The following is a 25,184-nucleotide window of genomic DNA, read 5'->3' as shown; positions in this document are numbered from 1 at the left end:
TCACCTGAGGTCAGGAGTTCAAGATCAGCCTGGCCAACGTGGCAAAACCCCATCTCTACCAAAAAATACAAAAATTAGCGGAGTGTGGTGGCAGGCACCTGTAATCCCAGCTACTCGGGAGACTGAGGCAGGCAGAATTGTTTGAACCCGGGAGGTGGAGGTTGCAGTGAGCCAAGATCCCGCCACTGCACTCCACCCTGGGCAACAGAGCGAGATTCCATCTCAAAAAAATAAAAATAAATAAATAAATAAACCCAAAGTAGCCAGAAGGAAATTATAAAGATTAAAGTAGAAATCAGTGAAATAGAAAACAGAAAAGTATAGGGGGAAAAAGTGCTTTTTTTTTTTTTTTTTTTTTGAGATGGAGTCTTGCTCTGTTGCGATCTCGGCTCACTGCAACCTCCACTTCCCAGGTTCAAGCTGTTCTCCCTCAGCCTCCCGAGTAGCTAGGATTACAGGTGCCCGCCACCACGCCCAACTAGTTTTTTGTATTTTTAGTAGAGACGGAGTTTCACCATGTTGGCCAGGCTGGTCACAAACTCCTGACTTCAAGTGATTCGTCTGCCTCAGCCTCCCAAAGTACTGGGATTACAGGCATGAGCCACTGCACCAGGCCAATTTTTTTTTAAAGACAGAAAAAGGATAAATTTTTAAGTGAGACTGACCTAGGAAAAAAGAAAATATAACTTACCAAAAACAAAAGAGAGGACATCACCACAAACACTACTGTGATTAAAAGGAATATAAGCGAATATTATGAACAACCTAATGCTAATAAAATAGATAAAACAGATTAATTCCTAGGAAACAAATTACCAAAAAAACTCTAAAAACTCAAGAAAGAGAACCTGAATAGACTTATAAAAGAGACTGAATTAGAAATTTAAAAACCAGCTCTCCCTCTCCCTCCCCCTCCCCCTCCCCCTCCCTCTCCCGTCTCCGTCTCCCCACGGTCTCCCTCTCATGCGGAGCCGAAGCTGGACTGTACTGCTGCCATCTCGGCACACTGCAACCTCCCTGCCTGATTCTCCTGCCTCAGCCTGCGGAGTGCCTGCGATTGCAGGCACGCGCCGCCACGCCTGACTGGTTTTGGTGGAGACAGGGTTTCGCTGTGTTGGCCGGGCCGATCTCCAGCCCCTAACCGCGAGTGATCCGCCAACCTCGGCCTCCCGAGGTGCCGGGATTGCAGACGGAGTCTCGTTCACTCAGTGCTCAATGGTGCCCAGGCTGGAGTGCAGTGGCGTGATCTCGGCTCGCTACAACCTACACCTCCCAGCCGCCTGCCTTGGCCTCCCAAAGTGCCGAGATTGCAGCCTCTGCCCGGCCGCCACCCCGTCTGGGAAGTGAGGAGTGTCTCTGCCTGGCCGCCCATCGTCTGGGATGTGAGGAGCCCCTCTGCCTGGCTGCCCAGTCTGGAAAGTGAGGAGCGTCTCCACCCGGCCGCCATCCCATCTAGGAAGTGAGGAGCGCCTCTTCCCAGCCGCCATCACATCTAGGAAGTGAGGAGCGTCTCTGCCCCGCCGCCCATCGTCTGAGATGTGGGGAGCGCCTCTGCCCCGCCGCCCCATCTGGGATGTGAGGAGCGCCTCTGCCCGGCCGAGACCCCGTCTGGGAGGTGAGGAGCGTCTCTGCCCGGCCGCCCCGTCTGAGAAGTGAGGAGACCCTCTGCCTGGCAACCACCCCGTCTGAGAAGTGAGGAGCCCCTCCGCCCGGCAGCTGCCCCGTCTGAGAAGTGAGGAGCCTCTCCGCCCGGCAGCCACCCCATCTGGGAAGTGAGGAGCGTCTCCGCCCAGCAGCCACCCCGTCCGGGAGGGAGGTGGGGGGGGTCAGCCCCCTGCCCGGCCAGCCGCCCCGTCCGGGAGGGAGGTGGGGGGGTCAGCCCCCCGCCTGGCCAGCCGTGCCGTCCGGGAGGTGAGGGGCGCCTCTGCCCGGCCGCCCCTACTGGGAAGTAAGGAGCCCCTCAGCCCGGCCAGCCACCCCGTCCGGGAGGGAGATGCGGGGGTCAGCCCCCCCACCCGGCCAGCCGCCCCGTCCGGGAGGGAGGTGGGGGGGGTCAGCCCCCCGCCTGGCCAGCCGCCCCGTCTGGGAGGTGAGGGGCGCCTCTGCCCGGCCGCCCCTACTGGGAAGTGAGGAGCCCCTCTGCCCGGCCAGCCGCCCCGTCCGGGAGGGAGGTGGGGGGGTCAGCCCCCCGCCCGGCCAGCCGCCCTGTCCGGGAGGGAGGTGGGGGGTTCAGCCCTCCGCCCGGCCAGCCGCCCCGTCTGGGAGGTGAGGGGCGCCTCTGCCCGGCCGCCCCTACTGGGAAGTGAGGAGCCCCTCTGTCCGGCCAGCCGCCCCGTCCGGGAGGTAGGTGGGGGTGTCAGCCCCCCGCCCGGCCAGCCGCCCCGTCCGGGAGGGAGGTGGGGGGGGGTCAGCCCCCCCGCCCGGCCAGCCGCCCCGTCCGGGAGGTGAGGGGCGCCTCTGCCCGGCCGCCCCTACTGGGAAGTGAGGAGCCCCTCTGCCCGGCCACCACCCCGTCTGGGAGGTGTGCCCAACAGCTCATTGAGAACGGGCCAGGATGACAATGGCGGCTTTGTGGAATAGAAAGGCGGGAAAGGTGGGGAAAAGATTGAGAAATCGGATGGTTGCCGTGTCTGTGTAGAAAGAAGTAGACATGGGAGACTTTTCATTTTATTCTGCACTAAGAAAAATTCCTCTGCCTTGGGATCCTGTTGATCTGTGACCTTACCCCCAACCCTGTGCTCTCTGAAACATGTGCTGTGTCCACTCAGGGTTAAATGGATTAAGGGCGGTGCAAGATGTGCTTTGTTAAACAGATGCTTGAAGGCAGCATGCTCGTTAAGAGTCATCACCAATCCCTAATCTCAAGTAATCAGGGACACAAACACTGCGGAAGGCCGCAGGGTCCTCTGCCTAGGAAAACCAGAGACCTTTGTTCACTTGTTTATCTGCTGACCTTCCCTCCACTATTGTCCCATGACCCTGCCAAATCCCCCTCTGTGAGAAACACCCAAGAATTATCAATAAAAAAATAAATTTAAAAAAAAAAAAAAAAGAATAAAAAAAAAAAAAAGAAATTTAAAAACCAGCCTGGCATGGTGGCTCACACCTATAATCCCAGCACTTTGGGAGGCTGAGGTGGGCGGATCACAAGGTCAGTAGATCGAGACCATCCTGGCTAACACGGTGAAACCCTGTTTCTACTAAAAAAAAAAAAAATGTAGCCGGGCATGGTAGCACGTGCCTGTAGCCCCAGCTACTTGGGAGGCTGAGGCAGGAGAATCGCTTGAACCTAGGAGTCAGAGGTTGTAGTGACCCAAGACTGAGCCACTGCACTCCACCCTGGGCGACAGAACAAGACTCTGTCCAAAAAAAAAAAAAAGAGAGAGAGAAAGGGAGACAGAGACAGAGAGAGAGAGAGAAATAAATAAATTTAAAAACCTTCCCAGAAAGAAAAGTTCAAGTCCACATGTTTTCACATATTAATTCTATCAAATATTAAGGAAATAATGCCAATACCAATCCTACACAAACTCTTTCACAAAAACAGACTTAATGGTAAAAGACCAAATAGTTTCTCCTAAGACTAGGAACAAGATCAAGATGTACACTCTCATACTTTTATTAAATAATATACAGTACAATAAGGCAAGAAAAAAAAAAACTAAAGGCATCCTGATTGAAAAGAAAGAAGTAAAACATGTTTAATCGCAGACATGATCCTGCATATAGAAAATCCATTATAAAACTCTTAAAAAGAAATAATAAATGTGTTCTGCAAGGTCACAAGACACAAGATCAATAAGCAAAAAATTGTATTTCTAAACACTATCAATAAATGACCTGAATATGAAATAGATATAACAATTTCATTTACAACAGCATCAAAAGGAATAAAATACTCAGGAATAAATTTAACACATGAAATGCAAGATGTACACTGCAAACTACAAAACACTGCTGAGAGAAATTAAAAGAAGACATATGAAAAAATACACCATGTTTATAGATCTGAACATAAGACTGACAAGATGTTAACTCCATCAAACTGACCTTTAGAATCAACATATCCCTAGAAAACCTCAGCAGGCATTTTTAGCAGAAATTGACAAGCTGATCCTAAAATTTATATAAAAATGCAAAGGCCAAAGAACGGATAAAACAATTTTGGAAAAAAAAAATCTTTTTAATTTTGCAAATCTCTGGACTTGCCTGCTCTTCAAATTCATCTTGTACACTGCAGCCAGTGTTTTCTAAAACACAAATCTGACTTTATTAGTATTCTTTTGCTAAAAATTCTGTGCCAGTTTCCCTCTGCCCTTAAGATGGAGTTTTTTTCTAAAAATGATCCCCACAGCTCTAGAGACCTAACCAATGATTTAACTGTTGTAGTTCTTCTTTAGCTTCATTTCTCACCTTCCTCCACCACACATATTTAAATAGCAGCCATATGGAATTAATTTCTATTCCTGGAAAGCTCAACACTTTTGCTTCTAGGTCATTTGTGCATGTTGTTCCCCTTGCAACAAGTTTCATTCCACTTTTTTGCTTACCTCACCCTCCCCTGCTCAAGTTCATCCAGCTCTTCTCTATTTTCTATTGGGTATCAGCTTAAATTTCAATTCTTCAGGAAAACCTTCCTGGAACATCTCCAGTAAGATCATATTAAGTGTCTCCACTATGTACAACATTGATGCAAAATGTTTTAAGAAAGAATCTTTGTAGACATTTAGATTGCCCTGTCAAAAAGGAAATTCTATCCCTTACGCCCATTCTAATAAGAGACTATATTTTATTCATTTTTGTCCTGTTTGAATTTTTTGAGTTGGTATTTATAATTTGAAAAGAGACATTTAAAAATGTGTTGGAGGCAATAAAAATGCTACACATGAACTTCAAACATTATGCTAAGTAAAAGAAGCCAGTCACAAAACATCGCAGATTGTATGATACCATTGATATGGAATGTCTAGAATAGGCAAATCTGAGACAAGTTGATCAGTGGTTGCCTGGGGATAGATGAGGGGGTGGAGAGAAGGAATGGGAAATGACTACTAATGAGCACAGGGTTTCTTTTCAGTATGCTGAAAATACTATAAAACTAAATTATGGTGATGGTTGTACTATTCTGTGAATACGTTAAAAACTACTGAACACTGAAAACCACAGTACACTTTATTTCTTATCTATTTATGTTTTTTTTAATTTTTTTTGGAGACAGAGTCTCACTTCATCACCCAAGCTAGAGTGTAGTGGTACAATCTCAGCTCACAGCAACCTCTGTCTCCCAGGTTCAAGTGATTCTCATGCCTCAGGCTCCTGAGTAGCTGGAATTACAAGCGTGCACACCACCATGCTGGCTAATGTTTGTATTTTTGGTAGAGACCAGGTTTTCCCAAGTTGGCAGGCTGGTCTCAAACTCCTGACCTCAAGTAATCCACCCACTTCAGCCTCCCAAAGTGCTGGGATTACAAGCATGAGCCACCCTGCCCAGCCCACAGTACACTTTAAACGTGTGCATTTTATGGTATATAAATAACATCTTGATAAAGCTGTCAAAATGTGATAGGAATAAACTGGCCTTTCAAAATGCCACTTTTTCCCTTAGAACAATCATTACAAGGGAACTAACCACTATTTTTTTTTTTTTTTGAGACAGAGTCTCGCTCTGCCACCCAGGCTGGAATGCAATGGCGCGATCTCAGCTCACTGCAACCTCCGCCTCCCAGGTTCAAGCGATTCTCCTGCCTCAGCCTCCTGAGTAGCTGGGATTATAGGTGCGCACTACCATGCCCAGCTAATTTTTGTATTTTTAGTAGAGACGGGGTTTCACCACGTTGGTCAGGCTGGTCTCGAACTCCTGACCTCGTGATCCACCCACCTCAGCCTCTCAAAGTGCTGGGATTACAGGCGTAAGCCACCGTGCCCGGCCTAACCACTATTAAATACAATTTAAGTATACTGTTAAATACTGAGTTATTAGAAATGTAATTAAGAATAAAGTTATATAAAGCTTACAATAAGAAGTCATATTTTGGCCCATATGTCACACATACCTGTATAATATGGTGATTAAAGACAACTAAGAATATAACTATTTCTTTAAGTGTAATAACTTTCAGTAATATGGAAATGTACAAATATAAGAAATGATAATAACCTCCCTTTCTCTACCAAAATTACACTCCAAAATTATTTACAATTTGGAGTATGTCTCTCCAGACTTTTCTTCACATTGTTAATATATTTCTTCACATAGACATATATTAATAAGTAAATAATGGGGAGAGGAAGGGAGACAGGAGTTACTTTGCTGAATCTGTGGTAACCGCAGTAATCACTTTTCATATTGTAGCCAGCTGAAAGTAGGCTACTGAAGCCAAGGACAAAAATGATTTAAATTTAAGATAAAAATAAAAGTTATATTAAAAGCATTATTGAAATAAATTTCTTTAGATGCAAATTTTTTACAGGCTGAGGAAAATAATCAGACTTTTACTACCCCTAAATCATCCCCCTCTACCTATTCACTGAGTAAGGTACATTCAGTGCAAAAGAACAGACACTGTCTTCACAACGTTCAATGCAGAATCCCCAACACAGACACTTATACATGTTCAAATATTTGGATCTGAATTCACACTGAATAAAAAAGCAATATGAAAAGAGATAAAGGGAGGATACCAAAGTAAATTAAAGTGGCCACTTTGAGATTGTAATTTGTTTCCATTTTAATAATTCTATCATTAAAAAAACTTTAATAAAAGTTTATCTTATTATCTTTAGGCTGGGCGTGGTGGCTCATGCCTGTAATCCCAGCACTTTGGGAGGCTGAGGCAGGCGGATCACCCGAGGTCAGGAGTTCAAGACCAACCTGGCCAACATTGTGAAAATCCATCTCTAGTAAAAATACAAAAATTAGCCAGTCGTGGCTGCGGGAGCCTGTAATCCCAGCTACTCAGGAGGCTGAGGCAGAAGAATCGCTTGAACCCGGGAGGAGGAGGTTGTAGTGAGCTGAGATCACACCATTGCACTCCAGCCTGGACGACAAGAGTGAAACTCCATCTCAAAAAAAAATAAAAATAAATAAAAAAATACAAGTATCTTTGGTTTTACTCACAAGCAAATATAATTTAATAATTCTAAACCATTAGGATACATTGCTTATAATGCTTTAACAAGCTTTGTTGGGCCGCGCGCAGTGGCTCACGCCTGTAATCCCAGCACTCTGGGAGACTGAGGCAGGCGGATCACCTGAGGTCAGGAGTTCGAGACCAGCCTCAACATGGAGAAACCCCATCTCTACTAAAAATACAAAATTAGCCGGGCATGGTGGTGCACGCCTGTAATTTCAGCTACTCGGGAGGCTGAGGCAGGAGAATTGCTTGAACCTGGGAGGCGGAGGTTGTGGTGAGCCAAGATCGCGCCATTGCACTCCAGCATGGGCAACAAGAGTGAAACTCCGTCTCAAAAAAAAAAAAAGCTTTGTTAGTCAATGTAACAGTAATTATTATAATTTATACTGTATCAAATGCTCATTACATGTCAGGCACTGCTTCAGTGTTTTAAATATAGTAACTCTTTCAATCTTCATTACAAAATTATAAGATATGTATTATTATAATCTCCATTCTACAGATGAGGTCACTGAGACAAGTGAGGTAAGTAACTTGTCCAAGGTGGCACAGCTATTAAATGGCAAAACCAAAAGTGCTCCAGAAGCAGTACTCTTAAATATTATACTTTACTGCCTAATAGCATTGCTAAAAAAGAATATAAAAGATTCCTAAGTTAAAGACTTTAATAGGGCCAGGCGTGGTGGCTCACACCTGTAATTCCAATACTGTGGAAGGCTGAGGTGGGAGGGTCACTTGAGGCCAGGAGTTCAAGACCAACTTGGGCAACATAGTGAGACACTGTCTCTACAAAAGTTTTTTAAAAACATCAGTGGGGCCGGGTGCGGTGGCTCATGCCTGTAATCCCAGCACTTTGGAAGGCCAAGTCGGGCGGAACACCTGAGGTTGGGAGTACAAGACCAGCCTGACCAACATGGAGAAACCTTGTCTCTACCAAAAATGCAAAATTAGCCGGGCGTGGTGGTGCATGCCTGTAGTCCCAGCTACTCAGGTGGCTGAGGCAGGAGAATCACCTGAACCCGGGAAGTGGAAGTGGAGGCTGCGGTGAGTCGAAATCATGCCATTGCACTCCAGCCTGGGCAACAAGCGCAAAACTCCATCTTGGGGGAAAAAAATAAAAGTCACCTGAGCACGGTGGCAGGTGCCTATAGTCCCAGCTACTTGGGAGGCTGAGGTGGGAGGACTGCTTGAGCCCAGGAGTTCAAGGCTGCAGTGAGCTATGACTGTGCCACTGCGCTCCAGCCTGGGCAACAGAGAGAAACCCTGTCTCTTGAAACAGGAGGAAAAAAAAAAAGACTTAAATATAATCATTTTAACAGCCACAATGTTCCCTGCTCTCTTAAGCCTTACCAACTATAAAATATAAGGTTTCAATCAATCCCACCTACTACTACAACCAAAAATCACAATTAAGTTGAAGAAAAACATATTCAGTTCAAATATACGGCGTCTTTTTGAACTTCTAGATTGTTCATAGTGCTATTTTATTATTATATTTGGCCCATCAGCTAACTAAAAGATATATAATACTATACTTATATAAATATATATATAATATGTTCTTCTGGTTTTTAGAGGAATATTAAAAATATTATCAATAATACTAATAATTATTAGCAAGGCAAACTCATTAATAAAGTTTTAGAACAGAGCTATTTTCAAGCACTGAAGTGACATTAGTTGCAGGGTAGAATATATGTGTATATAAACAGTATGTGTGACAGAACACAACACAACACAGTGAACCCAAAAAACAGTGCAAAGCAAGCAGAGTAAACTGAAGATAACCTTTTAAAATATTTCAAATTTTTAGAAATAGCTATTATGATTCCATTTTCATTTCATGACTCACTTTATTCCCATTCCAGTATGGCATGGTTTTTTTAATTTTAAGAGAATCAAAACAATTTTGATATTCCTTGAAGTGTCACTAAACTTGAGGTTCAGAATTAAGTCTTTAAAAAACAAACTTCTAGTGCTGAACCATAACTATGCACCTGGGAATGCTGGGAAACACTAGTTACAGTGAGACCAACCTAGACTGCATCAATCAGAAACTGAGTTGCTTCTTTTTGAGAGAAGACATCAGGAAGACAGGGAGTCTCAAACTATTCCAGACTTGCAAATTGTGGCAATAGCTGCAATACAGTCTTTATGTATACTAGCACGTATCTTTTCAGCTACTAGTACAGATCTTTTCAGCTACTAGTACATATCTTTTCAGCTACTAGTACAGATCTTTTCAGCTACTAGTACAGATCTTTTCAGCTACTAGTACAGATCTTTTCAGCTACAACTGCATATATAGATAGCAATTACTAACACAAGAAGTTTTTAGTCCATAGAAAACACACATGGGTATATGTATGGATATGTGCATATATAATATATACATATAAACATTACAAACATGCATAATCCATGCAGTTTATTTTAGAGTACTTTGCTTTTTAGTGGCTAAAACAGGATCTTACCCATAGAACATGTTAGTTCCTGGCTAAAACGTCATATTTTCAGCAAATGATATATTCTTCAAATCCAAGATGATAATGCATACTGCTATAATGACTTTTAATAGTTTGTCAACTTAATGATTTAGGTTTAAAAAATTAACACTTTTTCATACTGTTGATAAAGCATCTACAAATAAATTATCTTGGAAAAGATACAGAAACATAAAGTTCGAACCCACAAAACACTGATAACAAAGGTTTATTAACACAGTAAAGATTAAAAAATTGTCATCTCAGAATTTTCTATCTGTAGTATTCCTATAGATTCTAAAATTATTTTGAGTTATAATAAAATTAAAATATTTTACCAACTTTGTGAAAATATAAACCAGGTAAGAATGAGAAAAATATAAATATATGTAATTAGATATAATCTACATTTATATATTTATAAACATATAAAATGTGTATATTAAATACGTGTTTAACCTTAACATTGAAGTGCTAAAGAAAGTTTAACATATTTTTATGTTACATGCCAGAGTAGGAGGTAAGAGAGACGGGTATACTGTATTCTGTTTATACAACTAAAGTTAATATTTAAGAATACCAGGCTAGACATTCTCTTCCTTTTTTCTTTTGAATTATATATAAAAATAAGAACAGGTATGTGAGGATTCCTGAACTATACTGTATTCTGAGATGATCAGAAAGCACAAAATACACTTGGGGGGAAGAAGGAATAGTATTACTAGAATTGACATTGTCCTAAAAGAAAACCTAATCTAATTCTCCATTGTTAGAGTTTGTGATTCTGCGTATATACCCAATTTCTATATAATTTTATAACAGTCTTCACATGGGATTCTAAGCTTCTCAAGAACAGGAATAAGAATATTTCACATCATCCCTTATGCCTCCTCACCCCCAAAGAAAACTTCCTGGCACACAGTAGAAAAGGAATGCAAGGAAGTAAGTATGAAGAATCATAAGAGAGCGTGGCATTTTTTTCCTGAAATATAACAATGAAAATTTTTGGCTGGGTGTAGTGGCTCACGCCTGTAATCCCAGCACTTCAGGAGGCTGAGGCAGGCGGATCACGAGGTCAGGAATTAGAGACCAGCCTGGCCAACATGGCGAAACCCCACCTCTACTAAAAACACAAAAATCAGCCAGGTATGGTGGCAGTCGCCTGTAATCCCTGCAGGAGAATCGCTTGAAATCGGGAGGCGGAGGTTGCAGTGAGCTGATATGGTGCCACAGCACTCCAGCCTGGGTGACAAGAGCAAGACTCCTTCTCAAAAAAAAAGAAAAAAAGAAAAGAAAAGAAAATTTTACATTTTTTTCTTGGTCCTAACCATTCGGTTACCAGCTGTAGATCAACTGAATCAAATTTTTCCTATTTTAATTCATAATCATTTCATTATTTGTTCCTTTCAAAATACCCATAACAGGCTGGGCACACTGGTTCATGCCTGTAATCCCAGCACTCTGGGAGGCCGAGGTAGGCGGATCATCTGAGGTCCGGATGAGACCAGCCGGGACAACATGGTGAAAACCCATCGCTACTAAAAATATAAAAATTAGCTGAATGTGGTGGTGGGTGTCTGTAATCCCAGCTACTCGGGAGGCTGAGGCAGGAGAATCGCTTGAACCCGGGCTGCAAAAGTTGCAGTGAGCTGAGATTGCTCCACTGCACTCCAGCCTGGGCAACACAGCGAGACTCAGCCTGAGGGGGGAAAAAAAAAAATATCCGTAACAATTAACGAGGATCTCTCTCTCAAGTGACAGTAATCAAATTATAGCCCAATTTCTCTAAGAGGCTAAGTTTAACCACTCTAATCCCTTAACTTTTTCCCTTTCCCATCAGTTTTTTCTATATCACTTACAACAGTTTAATCACCCAAGCTAGAAGTGATGATTTGAGGGTCTGAAAATGCACAGAGTGTAAAAATGAGCTCTTCTATTCCTTCACTTTATATAGCCCAGGATCTTTTTGTTATTCTATCAACTCTTAAGATACAACTAAATACTTGTTCCTACTATTTTATTCTATGTTTATCAGATAACTTTTTTTTTTAATTTGAAAGTTTTTGTTGCTGTTTTGCCATAACCAACTATTGGTTTTTGGACATACATAATTTTCTGATAGTTCTAATCTTTCTCCTTGGTGTCAGTCACAGAGCTCTAAACTGCTTCTTACGGACATCCCCCCAAAAACCCTCAAAATAGCATCATCTTTTCCAATCAATAAATGAAAATTTTTGAGCCAATGTCGACTGTTTTCTCTCTACATATTCAATTAACATATCCTATTGATTCACTAATCCTTATTAAATCCATCCCTTCCTTTTCATTTCCACTGACCTTGCTCTAGTCTAGGCCCCATCTCATCAAGTACGGACTGTTACAATAATCTTAACTGTTTTCTCCATACCTAGCAGACTTTCATATTTCCAATCTATCTACACTCTACCACTTATACTCTGAAACACATATATACATACCACTGTTTCACAGCCTAAAAACTTTCCCATCAGATATACTCCACAGCTTAGTTTTCAAAATCCTGTGTTACCAGATTCAAAACTATGTCCTTTGATCTTTACTCCAGTAAAAAAAACCTTCTGTTTTCAGCCAAACTGACCAAATAAATGTTTGTTTCATGCATCGTGGAGAGTTTAACCCACGGATTCTTTGTTCATAGTTATTTTCACTATAAAGGAAAAAAAAAGTTTCCTTTTTTTTAATCTAACCTAGCCTTACTTTGCCTTTCAAGACTGACCATGAAGTCTTTTTTGAAGCTTTCATGAAGCTTTCCAACCATCAAAGTTCTTATGACTATTTCTTACCATGATAGATAGTGCTCCACCTATGGCAGGTACTCAATAAATGTCTGATGATTACTTCTTGGGTGACCATTCATTCCAGTTTCCCCAAGGCAGTTCTAATTTAAATCTACTGTTCTGACATCTCATCTGGTTAGTGCTCCATTGACTCTCAAGTAGTGCCCAATCCCTTAACTTATTCTTAATTTTCAGAACCACACAGTATTAGTTGGTTTTCACACTGCTGATAAAGACATCCCTGAGACTGGGCAATTTACAAAAGAGGTTTAATTGGACTTACAGTTCCACAAGGCTGGGGAAACCTCACAATCATGGTGGAAGGCAAGCAGGAGCAAGTCACATCTTACATGGATTGCAGCAGGCAAAGGGAGAATGAGGAAGACACAAAAGCGGAAACCTCTGATAAAACTATCAGATCTTGCGAGAGTTAACTCACCATCTAGAGAACAGTATAGGGGAAAACGCCCCATGAGTCAATTATCTCCCACCAGGTCCCTCCCACAACACGTGGGGCTTATGGGAGTACAATTCAAGATGAGATTTGGGTGGGGACACACAGCCAAACCATATCAAGCACTATTTTTGACTTAGAAAATGTAAATGGAGCAAAGTAACTAGAATACGAAACTTATTACTGCAATACAGTACTAGTTATTTCTGGTCATGTTGACACCATACCATAAGTATCCTTTAAGGCAATGGTTCTTAACCTGTGGTAATTTTGCCCCAAAGGGACACCTGGCAACATCTGGAGACATTTTTGATTGGCCAGGGATGCTGCTGGACATCCTACAACACACAGGATAGCACCCACAACAAAGAGTTATCTGACCCAAATGTCAAGGTTGCAGAATCCTGTTTGGGATTATCCTTACAATAACATTAATAAGATCAAAATGACATTTTTAAACAATGTGAATGTTTTTTAAGAGGAACTAAACAATCTTGAAACCAAAATGATATCTATTATTTCCTTCATAGGTAAATGGCCTAATCTTTAATCATTTAGCTTGATGTGATGTGATGGTTTTCATGCAACATATTATAAGTAGTTGGTATGAAATGGAAAGAGTATCACTGTGGACTCAATAGTTTGGTTTGAATTCAATACTTTGGTTTGAATACTTCAGGGCAGAAGAGGTGGACACAAACCTCAGAGGCTGTTTTCTAGCCAATAAAGGTAGCTATGACTTGTGTTCTCGCCTACATACTATTGCCACACTAACCTCTCCAAAATGCCATTTTGTTAAAAGCATTCCAATATTCAAAAACTCTCCTCCTAGATTTCACAGGCCATTCACAGTATGATCTCCAACCCAATGATTCAGCTTTCTCACTTGTTCCCTAACAAACATCCCTTTAGTTAAGATCTTCACAGGCCTTTTCTCTACCCTACTCAAATGTATCACTCGCTCTTTTCCCTAAACTTGTTGATTCTCACAGACAGCAAAAAATACCTTTCCATGTGTGCCCAAATCCAAAGTCCCGGCTCTCACTTTTAAGCCCATATACACCTTTCTTCTAGAAAATATTACTGGTTTCAGAGAGAACAGAATTCTATGTTCATTCTGTCTCCTAACCAAACTCTAAACACCTTGAAAGCTTATGCTCCACTCAGTAATTTAAACAAATATTTATACAGCAGTTACCACTGGCCAGACATGGCGTTAGACAGAAATGTGAAGATGAATTAAGATATAACTAGATTATTACACCTCACATAAAGGTTGTTAGCCTCTTTCACTCGCAGGCTGCACTACCATCAAGACTTACCGTGCCTGCTCATCAAGTTCCAAACCTCTAGATTCAGGTTTCTAGGATTCATCAGTTTTTTGGGTTTTGCTTCTTAATCCACTCCACCATCAGTCCTAAGTATAACCAATGGCAAATAAGAGTTTCACTGTGACAGGTCAACACAAGATTCATTATCTCCCACTCAGAGGAGAAATGAGCAGGCCCACTCAAAAGATATAAGCATTCAAAGCCTAAAATTACTAAAGTACTCTTTCTGTATCTACTAAATAGGTATTAGCAAAAACACACAATTTAGTCTGATTATCACTATAGAATATAGTACCGATTAGGTATTAAATGCATACTAAAAACCTAACTTGAGAGTACCTATTAAATCCCATTCCTCAAGCTTATTGGAGTCAAGGGTCACTTACAGACTAGCTTGGCCCACTCCTGGTTCTCATTCACACTTTTCAAACAAAATAAGCCTCAAGAGCCACACATAATTGGGTACTTTCTTACTGTCTCACAGAGAGAGGAGCAGAAGCTCCTGAATGGAGTAGGAGAGGGATGTGTGGGGGAGGAGTTTCAGTCTAGTACACTGCAGAAGTGGGAGATGATTTGATTCATCCTCATGAATTATAAACCTGATTTTTAACTAAATACAACTTCCTTTGTCTTATCTTTCCAAATACTTTCAAGAATTTCATATCTGATACCGTGGTACTACATTATATTGCATCTATTATTCTTCATATTTCAAGGAGATAGAATCAATATTTTTTTCTCTAAAGTCTCTAATTTCTATTTTATTCCAGAATGTGAGACCTTTCCCAGATCAAAGTAAACTGTTCTGCAATTTCTGAGCCACTCCTAAAGACCTAGTTTAAAGCCTTCCTCTTAAATAAGCTAGTTTGTCCTAAAGTTGTTCATTTCCTCCATAACTTCGATCCCAAAAGATCTCAGAAGACGTAATTTTGAGTAAATGAAAGAGGTGAAATAAGAACTTATTATTACCAAAGCCTTAAAACCTACATTATTTTACAAATTCATTTTTGCTACTGAAAATTAGCCCAACAGGAGTCACATGCAATGTGCTCTGGGTAGTACAGATAATTACTACAAGGAATAGTGTATTCAGGTAATGCAAACCATTTATATTAAGACACTACTTAATTCTGCTATTTACTGCCCAAATTGCCATTTTAAAAAATAATGTCAAAATTACATGAATTTATATAGTTATAGATATGTTCCTAGCAGAAGGGTAAGGAGGCAGGGGTCTGCGTAAGTGGAAGTAGAAGGCAAGTAGCCTTTTTGGGCTACCAGGGTATCAGCACCAGGTTCCCTGGGCAATCTGGCATAGGAATTTGAATACACGGAGGCCCCAAAGATGGGGACTGAGGAGCAGTAGCAACATCAGTGATCCAGAAGGCTCACAGGATGTGAGCTATACAACTTTGGTGTTCCTTATCTGATATTCCTAAAAACCAAAGTTGTGTTTTTCATGAAAACAGACTACATGATTTATTTAGGTAGATCTGATAAATGTTTTAATAGTTACACTTGTGGAATTTAATTTTTTAAGTGTAAAGTTAAGAACATTCTAAGAAGCATTCTAAATCACTTTCGGTCCTGGGTGCTACCCAGTTCAATAAATGTTTTTTTTGCCCAATTAAATTGTTAAATTTAAAACAAACAAGAATAATAGATCATAAGATCAAATACATATCTTGGGTTCCAATTCTATCAAAAATGTGCTATCATTACAGCACAGTGCTCCACCTATGGCAGTTACTCAATAAATGAAACCATATTTGTTGAAGCCAAAATGTATCCATCTGTGATATATAATCTTACTACTACTAAGTAACAAGGAAAACTACAAGTAAAAAGGCTTCTAATGTATCATGTTATATTATGATCCCCACATGATCACAGAGTAATAAAACTGACTTAAATTTTATCAATAGGATTTTTTAAATTCTAAAAGCAATTCATGTCTTATCAGAAAACTTGGAAATCACAAAAAGTACAAAGAAGTTTAAAACAAAGTGCTTCTGTAATCCTACTAAACAGAGCGATGCCAGTATTTTGGCTAATTTTTAAACTTATTTTAAAAATCACACACTACATCTAGACAGTATTTTCTTCTTTAATTCATCATGGGAAAGTATACATTCAATACTGCCATTATTCAGAATCTGTGAAGTATCTCATCTGTAACTGGCATAAGCGTCATGTAAGAAATCTGGTCTCACTGTTTTACAGTTTTGCCTCATTTTAACCTAACATCACTGATAGATTGATTTCATTTAAATTAATGTCACTGAACTCTTACTACACTGTGGTCCTGTTCAGAAACATAAAGATGAATATGCTACTATCCTTCTGCTTAAACTGCTCACATTCTAGACTACACAGACCAAAGCACAAGGTGGTTGCGTTAAATATACTCTAAAAAAGGGTATATAAACAGTGATAGGTTAACAATGAAGAGGAAGTAAACCAAGTTAAAAATTCAGGAGAATTTCACAAAGGAAAGAAAATCTGCATTGTGCCTGAAGAATAAGTAAAATTTTGGTAAGAGGAGGAAGAGAAAAAAACAGATGAACATCAAAAGCCAAAGGGCATAAATGTTCTTGAAGGTTCTGGCAAAAGCAAGTAAATCTAGGAAAAAAGTAAATTAGCGCTGGACTGCTGAGGACTTTTAAATACCCTGCTAACTCATTTTTATTCACCAGGCAAGATAATGACTTCTAATGGTTTTCAAAATTCAAACCTACCCTCAAGAGGAAAACAACTGGCCATTACTGAGGATATTCAGAGAAATGTGCCACAGACTTAAAGGGAAAACATTCATGATGCTTCCGCTGCTAAATATCTCCTCACACTTAAGCTTAGCACTCTGTCTTAAAGGTATCTTCTTTTTTTTTTTTTTTTTGAGACAGAGTCTTGCTCTGTCGCCCAGGCTGGAGTATAATGGCGTGATCTCAGCTCACTGCAACCTCTGCCTCCCGGATTCAAGCAATTCTCCTCCCTCAGCCTCCCAAGTAGCTGGGATTACAGGCGCCCACCACCATGCCCAGCTAATATTTTTGTATTTTTAGCAGAGACAGGGTTTCACCATGTTGACCAGGCTAGTTCTGAACTCCTGACCTCAAGTGATCTGTCTGCCTTGGCCTCTCAAAGTGTTAGGATTACAGGCATGAGCCACCATGCCCAGCCTGTCTTGAAGGTTTCTTATGCTCCCACATAGAGTGCAACAGAATTAAAAGAACACTCAGAATTCACCCAATTCAACTTTTTTACTTCTTTGTAACATCGCCTGCCACAGGAGCATTCAGCAGTCTTTTGAAGGTTATTTCCAACAATTTTTTTAGGGTAGTGCATATCATCCAAAAACAGCTCTATTAAAAAATTCTTCCTTCTACTAAAACAAAATTTGCCTGCCTCTAATTTACACCTATTAGTCTAGCGATGAACAGTTAGTTATATAAGTAATAATCCTTATTAGAGTCCTTCAAATACTCAAAAAGTTCTCTTCCCCAAGCTAAATATCTATAGGCTAAATAAATCAAGATCAATCGTACTTCATCAGACTTGACTTTTAGGTTTGGTGTCAATCTCAATTTCACTTTATTAGCTATGCGACTTTGGGTTTAGTTTCTTTTGCTGTAAAATGGGGATAAAATGACACATTCTACCACATGGATGTACTGTGAAAACATAATGCTAAATGAAATAAGCCAGACACAAAAAGACAAGTATTGTATGATTCTACTTACACAAGCTACCTAGAGTGGTCAAATTCATAGACAGAGAAGCAGAATGGTAGTTGCCAGGGGCTGGCGTCCATGGAAACAGGGAAACTGTTTAATGGGTACACAGTTTCAATTGAGGAAGATGAAAGGTCTAGAGATGGATGGTGGCGATGATTGCACAACATTGTGAATGTACTTAATGCCACTGAACTGTAAACTTAAAAATTATTAACATGGTAAATTTTGTTATATTTTACAATAAAAATAATAATAATTACAACTCCAAATTGTACACATTAAATGATTTAACATGTGTAAAGGAGCTGAGCACGATGGCTCACGCCTATAATCCCAACACTTTGGGAGGGTGAAGCAGGTGGATCACTTGAGCCCAGGAGTTCGAGACCAGCCTGGGCAACATAGTGAGACCCTATCTCTACAAAACATAAAAAATAAATTAGCCAGGCATGGTGTCACGCGCCTGTGGTCCTGGCTACTCAAGAGGCTGAGGTAAGACAATCACTTGAGCCAGGGGTGGGGGAGGGGGGGTGGTACTGAAGCTGCAGTGAGCTGTAGATTATACCCCCACCCCTGGTCCACAGAAAAATTGTCTTCCACGAAACCGGTCCCTGATGCCAAAAAGGTTGCGGACTGCTGTCTTGCAAAATGCTTGGCATATAAAAACATGGGCACACCACAGTGACTGCAATATACTTTTATCAACCATGAGGCTCTGCTTGGCCAAGTTCTATTTTTTAAGAACTTGCATTATCATGTCTCTCAATGTTCCCAACACTGTGCTGCACACAGGTACTCTAAGTATTTGTTCCATTAAAGAAAAAAAATTAAAGCCATTTTAGAATGACTGGAAAACCACTGCTAACAATGGAATAGAGGGCAAGGCACAGTGGCTCATGCCTGTAATTCTAGCACTTTGGGAGGTTGAGGTGGGCAGACTGCCTGATCCCAGGAGTTTGAGACTAGCCTGGGCAACATGGGAAGACCCTGTCTCTTAAAAAAAAAAAAAAAAAAAAGGGAAATAGAAAGCTTATTAGATGTCTAACTTCTGATTCATCTAACCCACACACATACACAAACCACATTACTTTAAAGTAACATCTCCTTGGTACAGAAGAGTCTAGAAAACATAAAACTTCCCAAGATATTAGTATGTTAATCAGTGAATGACTGCCAAACTATTCAGATAAGTGGTGATAATTACACAAATTGCTTTATTAACTTAGGCTTACCAAATTAAATTACAGGCAACTTTTACCAATGGCCCTCTACAAAAAGCATACATAAACAAAGAGGTCATACAATAAATCAACTCTCAGCAGTGAAGAGCCACGAGTGACAAAAAAGTATAAAAACCACATTACCTACCTAGCTCTGAATTGGGACATTTATCAACAAAGGTTATCGATGAGAAGTCAGTATGAATTTGAAGTGTCTTCATAAACCTAAGATAAATTGATCTAGTGAGCCAGAATGTAGCTTAAAATGGGCTTAGGCCTACCACTCCAAATGATGGAAAAGAACAGAAATTTTATCACTAAGATCATGGTGAACACGGGCAGGATCAAAAGTCTGGATAAAAGGAAATATGGTGACTTCTAAAGAGAAAAATAAGCAGTGTCTAGAAAGTCCAGACCAAACTGATTCCTTGCAAAATTCAAAATTGGATGAAAAAAAAGTTTGTGAAGAAAGGAAAAGTGGATACATGAAATGCTAGAACATTCATCATGAACAAGTCCAAACAAATCAACTGCAATGGCTATTTTAATAGGTTGGTGATAGTAATGTAGTATTCTTCATTGTAGGTAAGAATCTTGTAGGCAGAGTATAGCTTAATTATAGCAAGGCACTTTACAAAATCATAATGTCTACACAAAATGTTATATGGGCCTGACGATAATAGATAGAACTAGCAATTATTGAACAACCATGTGTGTTGATTAATGGACTGGTATTAATCCAGAGTGAGTCTAGCTGACATGCCCACTTCAGAGTAATTTATTATGTCAATTTAATATTTTTATCAACAATTTGAATGAAGACGTAGTAGATATGCCTACCAAATACAAAGATGACCAAATAACTCAGAAACATAATATTAAATGTGTAAATAAAAACTAACAAAAGGAAATTTAAAAGCCTTATATTTAATCTGAGCACGCCTAAAAAAAAATAAAATAAAAGCTTTATATTTAAGCTAAAAAAAAAATCCGTTACACAAAAACTAGGTTAGGAAGACACAGTTTAACATCTTATGTATAAAATATATGGGAGAGAAGTTGATACTTCAGGCTCATATTAAGCATAATAGAAGTTAAAACTGTCAATGAAGTATTTGGTTAAAAAAAAAACAGCATTTGATTCACACCCACCACACTCTCCATCTGACCAAATATCATCTAAAATGCTGGGTACAACTCTGGGAACCATGTATAATGACAATGAGCAACTTAGAGTTAATTAAGAAAAAAATAACCATGGTCGAAGGATCAGAGAATTACATTATCTAAGGAATGATAAAACAAACTGGGATTATTTACTCTGAAGAAGAGAAGGGAATGCTCACAGTGTGTGGCAGGGAGAAAGGGTCAGCAGTGACACCACAGTAGTCTTCAACTATGTGAAGAGGCCATTCATGTGAAAAGGACATTATACTTGGAAAAAGCAAAATACTGTGGGAACAGCATAGTCTATGATGTATAAAGACCTGGATTCAAATCCTGGTGCCATCATTCAGTGCGCATTATTTGATGCTTGGAGAGAGATTAGTTTTCTTACCTAGAAAATGATACCTATCTCATAAATGTATAAAATTAGAGGCAAAAAATATTTATAAGCTGCCTGGCACAGACTGACACACTGTGATGCACAACGAAGTTAGTTCTCATCCCTAAACTTTTCTGAGTTATTCTAGAAACAGTGTTTTTCAAGTGAGAATTGCAACTCTTTAATGGGTCACAAAATCAGCTTAGCTGGGGAGTAACCAGCATTTTTTTTTAATGAAACAGAATAGAGCGGAAAATATCCAAGCATACCACTTGTAGTAAAAGTAATCAACATTTTGTGAAACTTTTGCTTCAGTTATTCAGATACATGTGAATTCCTGATTATGAGTTAAAATGTATTTCTTATCATGAAGCTGGGTCCAAAAAAAAAAAGAAGAGTATGAAAGTGACTGCTGTAGAGCACTGTTTTCTAAAAAAGATACTAGTTCCTTGGGAGCTCAATTAAGTTTAGGACCAAACCATACTCCCTAGAGATTTACTATGTTCAAAACACATTAGCATCTCCAGGAGCCCAGCATTAAAGAAAACTGTTTATTTTTGTTGAACCCAGTTTTTCCCACATTTATTCCATCCCAGAACCCACCCACTTTTTTTCTACATAACACTTATTGACATCTTCAGAACTAGCACTTTGCGGCACATACACTCGGGAGGAAACATTCCTCTAGATGAAAAGGAAGGTGCAATAGCTAGAAGTTACAAAAGGTAGATTCTTAGCTTGCTAAGAAAGGAAAAAATATTGACTTTGAATCTTCCTGCCACTGACATCCATCCCCTACAACTTTTACCCTAATCACATACCCCAACGCATTTTAAATATGATTTATATTCAACTTTCAGTTCACACAAATCTCAGAAAAAGTATAGGACACCTATAATATCAAGATATGAAGCCAGGATCAAAGCAGTAAGCAGGAATCATCTGGTCAAAAGAAACTCCTGGAACAGTATTTAAGGAAGACTTGCTTTACCTTAACAAACTCATGCTCAGGAACCAAAGCAGCCAAAGACTTAATCGGCTTCCCCAAGTGGACTCAATGTGTTCTAATAATACATAATCTAAAATGGGCTGATGGGTGCAGCTAATCCTCATTATTATGAGCATCATTTTATTATCATCACTTGCAAGAGCCATGTGACAATATTTACAAGATTCTGGGTTCTTTTAAAGTGCATACATACCCAAGATTCCTTTGGGAGAATGCAATTTCACATTTATATCAAAAACTGTCACTACCACAGTCAGCTCTAATATTTGATATCACTTGGTAATAAAGGTATGTCATCATATACTCAAGAGTAATTCTGTTACTCAAATCTTCCTGAGAGTTACAAATACCTCTGACTCTGCTCTTGTAGCTGTCAAGAGCATAAAATGCCCTTCCCGCTCTTTCCTCACTTTCAGACTCCAAGCCACCTCCTCCTCAAAGTCTGGCCCAACTACTTTGGACTACTATTTTTTTCCCAGTTACTGAGCACTGTCAGTACTCTTTGTTCTATCACTCTTTGGGTAATTCACTGTACACTTTCTAGTTTATTTAACTGCACAAAACTTAGTTCTCAACAAGACTATAACTGCCTTATGAACAGGGATCAACACTTAAGAATCACCAGAATCTCCTACAACATCATATAAGAACTGTTTCTTGATTTAAGTAACTAGGCTTAAGAGTAACAAATAGCAGCTTGTTTTAGACAGTTTACTATGTGCCAGATCCAGCGCTAAATGCATACATAATTATCTTACTAAATTTTCATAACTCTATAGAGGTAAGTGCTATTATTTTCTCCATCAAATACAAGAAGAAAGTGAGCCTCAGAGTAACTTGCTCAAGGTCATACTGCTAGTAAGTGGCAAAACCAGGGGCGAACCCAGGAAAGCTCTTAACTACCTCAGAACACTGCAAAGTTCCAGCCCTGCAATACCAGAGTCTATGAATGATTTCGATTTCACTGTTAGAAGTTTTAATTTCAATAGAGCAGAGACATTTTAGCTAAAAGTTAAAACTTTAAGAAAAATGAATTAAGACAAATAATTGCCCACACACATCTTTATAATAAAACGAGAGGAAAAGCCTCCCATGTCCTATTTATGAAAGTGATATTAAGGTGGGGGGGCCACAATTTCATCAAGAAGTGGCTTATGACAATATAGCTTTGGTTTAAATTTTTAAATAGGACTCTTTTTCTCTGCCCCTAGAAGGACGTGGAAATGAAAGATGGATGTGATAACTGTCAATTCAGAGCTCTGCAAAACGCCAGACTCAATTCTTGTTTTAGAAAATAAGAGCCAGGGCTCGTTCCACCCTTGACTCTTCACACAGAGTAACAAAAAAAAAAAAAAAAAAAAAAAAGCAGCACCATCCTCTGCCCTCTCTTCACACAAAGCAAGGTTTACCCCACTACCCAAAGGGGAGTGCTGATTCATACGGTCTCCCCATCCCCGCCAGAAATGGGTCCCAAACACCAACCGCTGCATAGACGTAGACGACTCTGGTCTGCCCCTGACCCCCACACCTGGTGATACCTCATCAAGCAGACCCCTCTCCTACATCCAGAATGCCCAGGGCCACCATCCGAAAGCCAGTATCTTACACAAAGCAGGATCCCTGCCTACAAAGCAGTTTCCCACCTCCGACTCCTCCCCAGGCGAACAGCCCTTCTCAAGCTGCCCCAACCCACAGACCCCAATAGGGTCCAGCACTCAGAAGGTCCACAATCCAAAGGACAACGAGCTACAACCCTGTTACTTGCGCACGCCTCGAACCCCCAACTCCAGCTGACGTTCCCTCTGCCAAAGCAAGAAAACCACAAGTCGCCACAGGAGAGCGGACCCGGCTACACAAAGCGAGGCGCCCGACCAGAGGGACCCTCAGAGGACGCTCTCCGCCCCCGGGCCCGTCCCCGCCCAGCTCCTGCCCGGCGCCTCGCGCTCACCAGCTCTCCTCCTCCTCCTCCCAGCCTGACAGGCGCTCCAGCTCGTCGGGCCGCAGCGGCTCCACCTCGTCCAGCAAGCCGCCCTCGCCCGCCGCTAGCAAGGAGGTGGCGTCCCGCAGCTCTTCGCTACTCGTCCGCCTCGGGCCCGACCCGGGCCCGCCGCCCGACTTGGCGCTGAGGCCCAAGGGGAAGCCCCGAGGAGACGCCGCGCCGGAGGAGGGAATGGACGCGCCGGCCCGAACCGGGCTGCCGGGCCCAAGGGAGCCGGCGCCCTGCACGGCCCCCGAGCGGCTCCTCAGCTGTTCGTTCTGCTTCTCCAGCTTCTTCACCAGCTCCTGCAGCTTCCGCACCTCCTGGTCCGCGTTCACGTTGGAGTTAACGTCCTCCATCCCGGCCCCGCCGCCGCCGCCGCCTCCGCCGCCCGCTCGCTCTCGCAGCGACAGGGAAAGAGACGGAGGAAAGAGGCGTCGCCGCCGCTCACTCTAGCCGAGGCGCCGGCATATAGCAGGACCAGGCCCCACCGCCAGGGTCCCCCCACCTCGGGTTCCAAAGCGCCGCTGGCCCCAGCCGAACTGCCTCATCTGCGCCGGCTCCGGGATTGGGGGAGGCGGCGCCAATATCCGGCCCCTGCCGCCATCTTCCCTCCGTCCCTCCGCCCCCCGCGGGCCGGCCCAGTCGGTGACCTCAGAGCGTCGGGGGTGGACGCGGCCGCCGGCGGGCGCTGAGAGGACCCGGCGCCAGCTCGCGGCGGGGCGGGGCCACGGACGGGGCCTATGGGGCGGGGCCGGTGCTTGAGGGGCGGGGATTAGGCCGGAAGGGGCGTGTCGGCGGATGTGGGACGCGGCCGGGCTGGCTAGGGAGGGTCCCTGCAGAACGGGAGGCCAGCAGAAGGCTCGCGGCGGGCGGGGCTGAGGTGGCTAACAAGGTCCTCGAACAGCCTCGCCTGTTGGTCTGGGCGTGTGGGCGTGTTCTCCACCCCTTACAGGGAGTGTGGGACCCGCGGGCCAGTCTCGCCCTTGTTCCGGGCCGGATCTCGAGTGGGCGCTCAGCCCGGCGGTGGAGAGACAGTTTACTTTGTTCAGCAAATATTTAATCGATGCCGACTTTTAATTGGAGATTGTCTCGGCTGGCAGGAGCCTCTAGACTGCCTGTGTCCTGTTTCTTCCCCTGAAAATAAGAAACCCCAGTTTCAGACAGTTAAGAGAGGTCTAAGGTCAAAATAATCATAATTTCTTGAGTGCTTCCTACTGGCCAGACAGTGTGCTAAGCACTTTTAAAGGCATTATCTCATCGGTTAAAACATAGTTTTCCCGACTTAAAGTTTACAGCACACTGGGGCGGAAGCGGGGGATAGTAAACCGCTTCTCTACTCCCTTTCTCCGTTTATTGACTCACACTCTGTTCTTTGGATCACTTCCTTCGGAAAAAGTTCCTCGTAGTGTGTCTTGACTTTTTTAAAAGTTGTATGTTAAAAGTAGTTAAACACGCTGACAGATACTGAAGAATGAAG

General features: G+C 41.8%; 1 protein-coding gene across 3 annotated transcripts in view, besides 5 other annotated features; it reads right to left on the bottom strand.

The window, feature by feature from the left end:
• The window catches only part of SLAIN2 (SLAIN motif family member 2), an 84,673-nt gene extending 60,399 nt beyond the window's left edge, over window positions 1-24,274 (bottom strand). For 2 of the 3 annotated variants that reach the window (XM_005248121.4, NM_020846.2), the window contains exon 1: window positions 23,675-24,274. In XM_005248121.4, the coding sequence (XP_005248178.1) occupies window positions 23,675-24,063 (389 nt within the window). In that variant the 5' untranslated portion in view covers window positions 24,064-24,274. Of the gene's footprint in view, window positions 1-14,208; window positions 23,067-23,674 lie in introns of those variants that run through there. The other variant, XM_047416023.1, reaches the window with a different exon arrangement.
• Window positions 23,414-24,327: an enhancer, noted in NCBI's record as "H3K27ac hESC enhancer chr4:48343493-48344406 (GRCh37/hg19 assembly coordinates)". NCBI's record gives its function as "activates a minimal SCP1, AML or CMV promoter by ChIP-STARR-seq in primed H9 embryonic stem cells {active_cell/tissue: H9 hESC(primed)}" and the evidence as "EXISTENCE:reporter gene assay evidence [ECO:0000049][PMID:30033119]".
• Window positions 23,414-24,583: a biological region, named in NCBI's record as "H3K27ac hESC enhancer GRCh37_chr4:48343493-48344406".
• Window positions 23,794-24,103: a silencer, noted in NCBI's record as "silent region_15407". NCBI's record gives its function as "represses an Ori minimal core promoter by ATAC-STARR-seq in GM12878 lymphoblastoid cells {active_cell/tissue: GM12878}" and the evidence as "EXISTENCE:reporter gene assay evidence [ECO:0000049][PMID:35858748]".
• Window positions 24,244-24,583: a silencer, noted in NCBI's record as "silent region_15406". NCBI's record gives its function as "represses an Ori minimal core promoter by ATAC-STARR-seq in GM12878 lymphoblastoid cells {active_cell/tissue: GM12878}" and the evidence as "EXISTENCE:reporter gene assay evidence [ECO:0000049][PMID:35858748]".
• Window positions 24,734-24,853: an enhancer, noted in NCBI's record as "active region_21548". NCBI's record gives its function as "activates an Ori minimal core promoter by ATAC-STARR-seq in GM12878 lymphoblastoid cells {active_cell/tissue: GM12878}" and the evidence as "EXISTENCE:reporter gene assay evidence [ECO:0000049][PMID:35858748]".

The sequence above is a fragment of the Homo sapiens genome, chromosome 4, assembly GCF_000001405.40.
Source record: "Homo sapiens chromosome 4, GRCh38.p14 Primary Assembly".
Classification (NCBI taxonomy): domain Eukaryota; kingdom Metazoa; phylum Chordata; class Mammalia; order Primates; family Hominidae; genus Homo; species Homo sapiens.
Note: the sequence above shows the minus strand (reverse complement) of the source record. Positions and strands in the feature narration are given on the sequence as shown.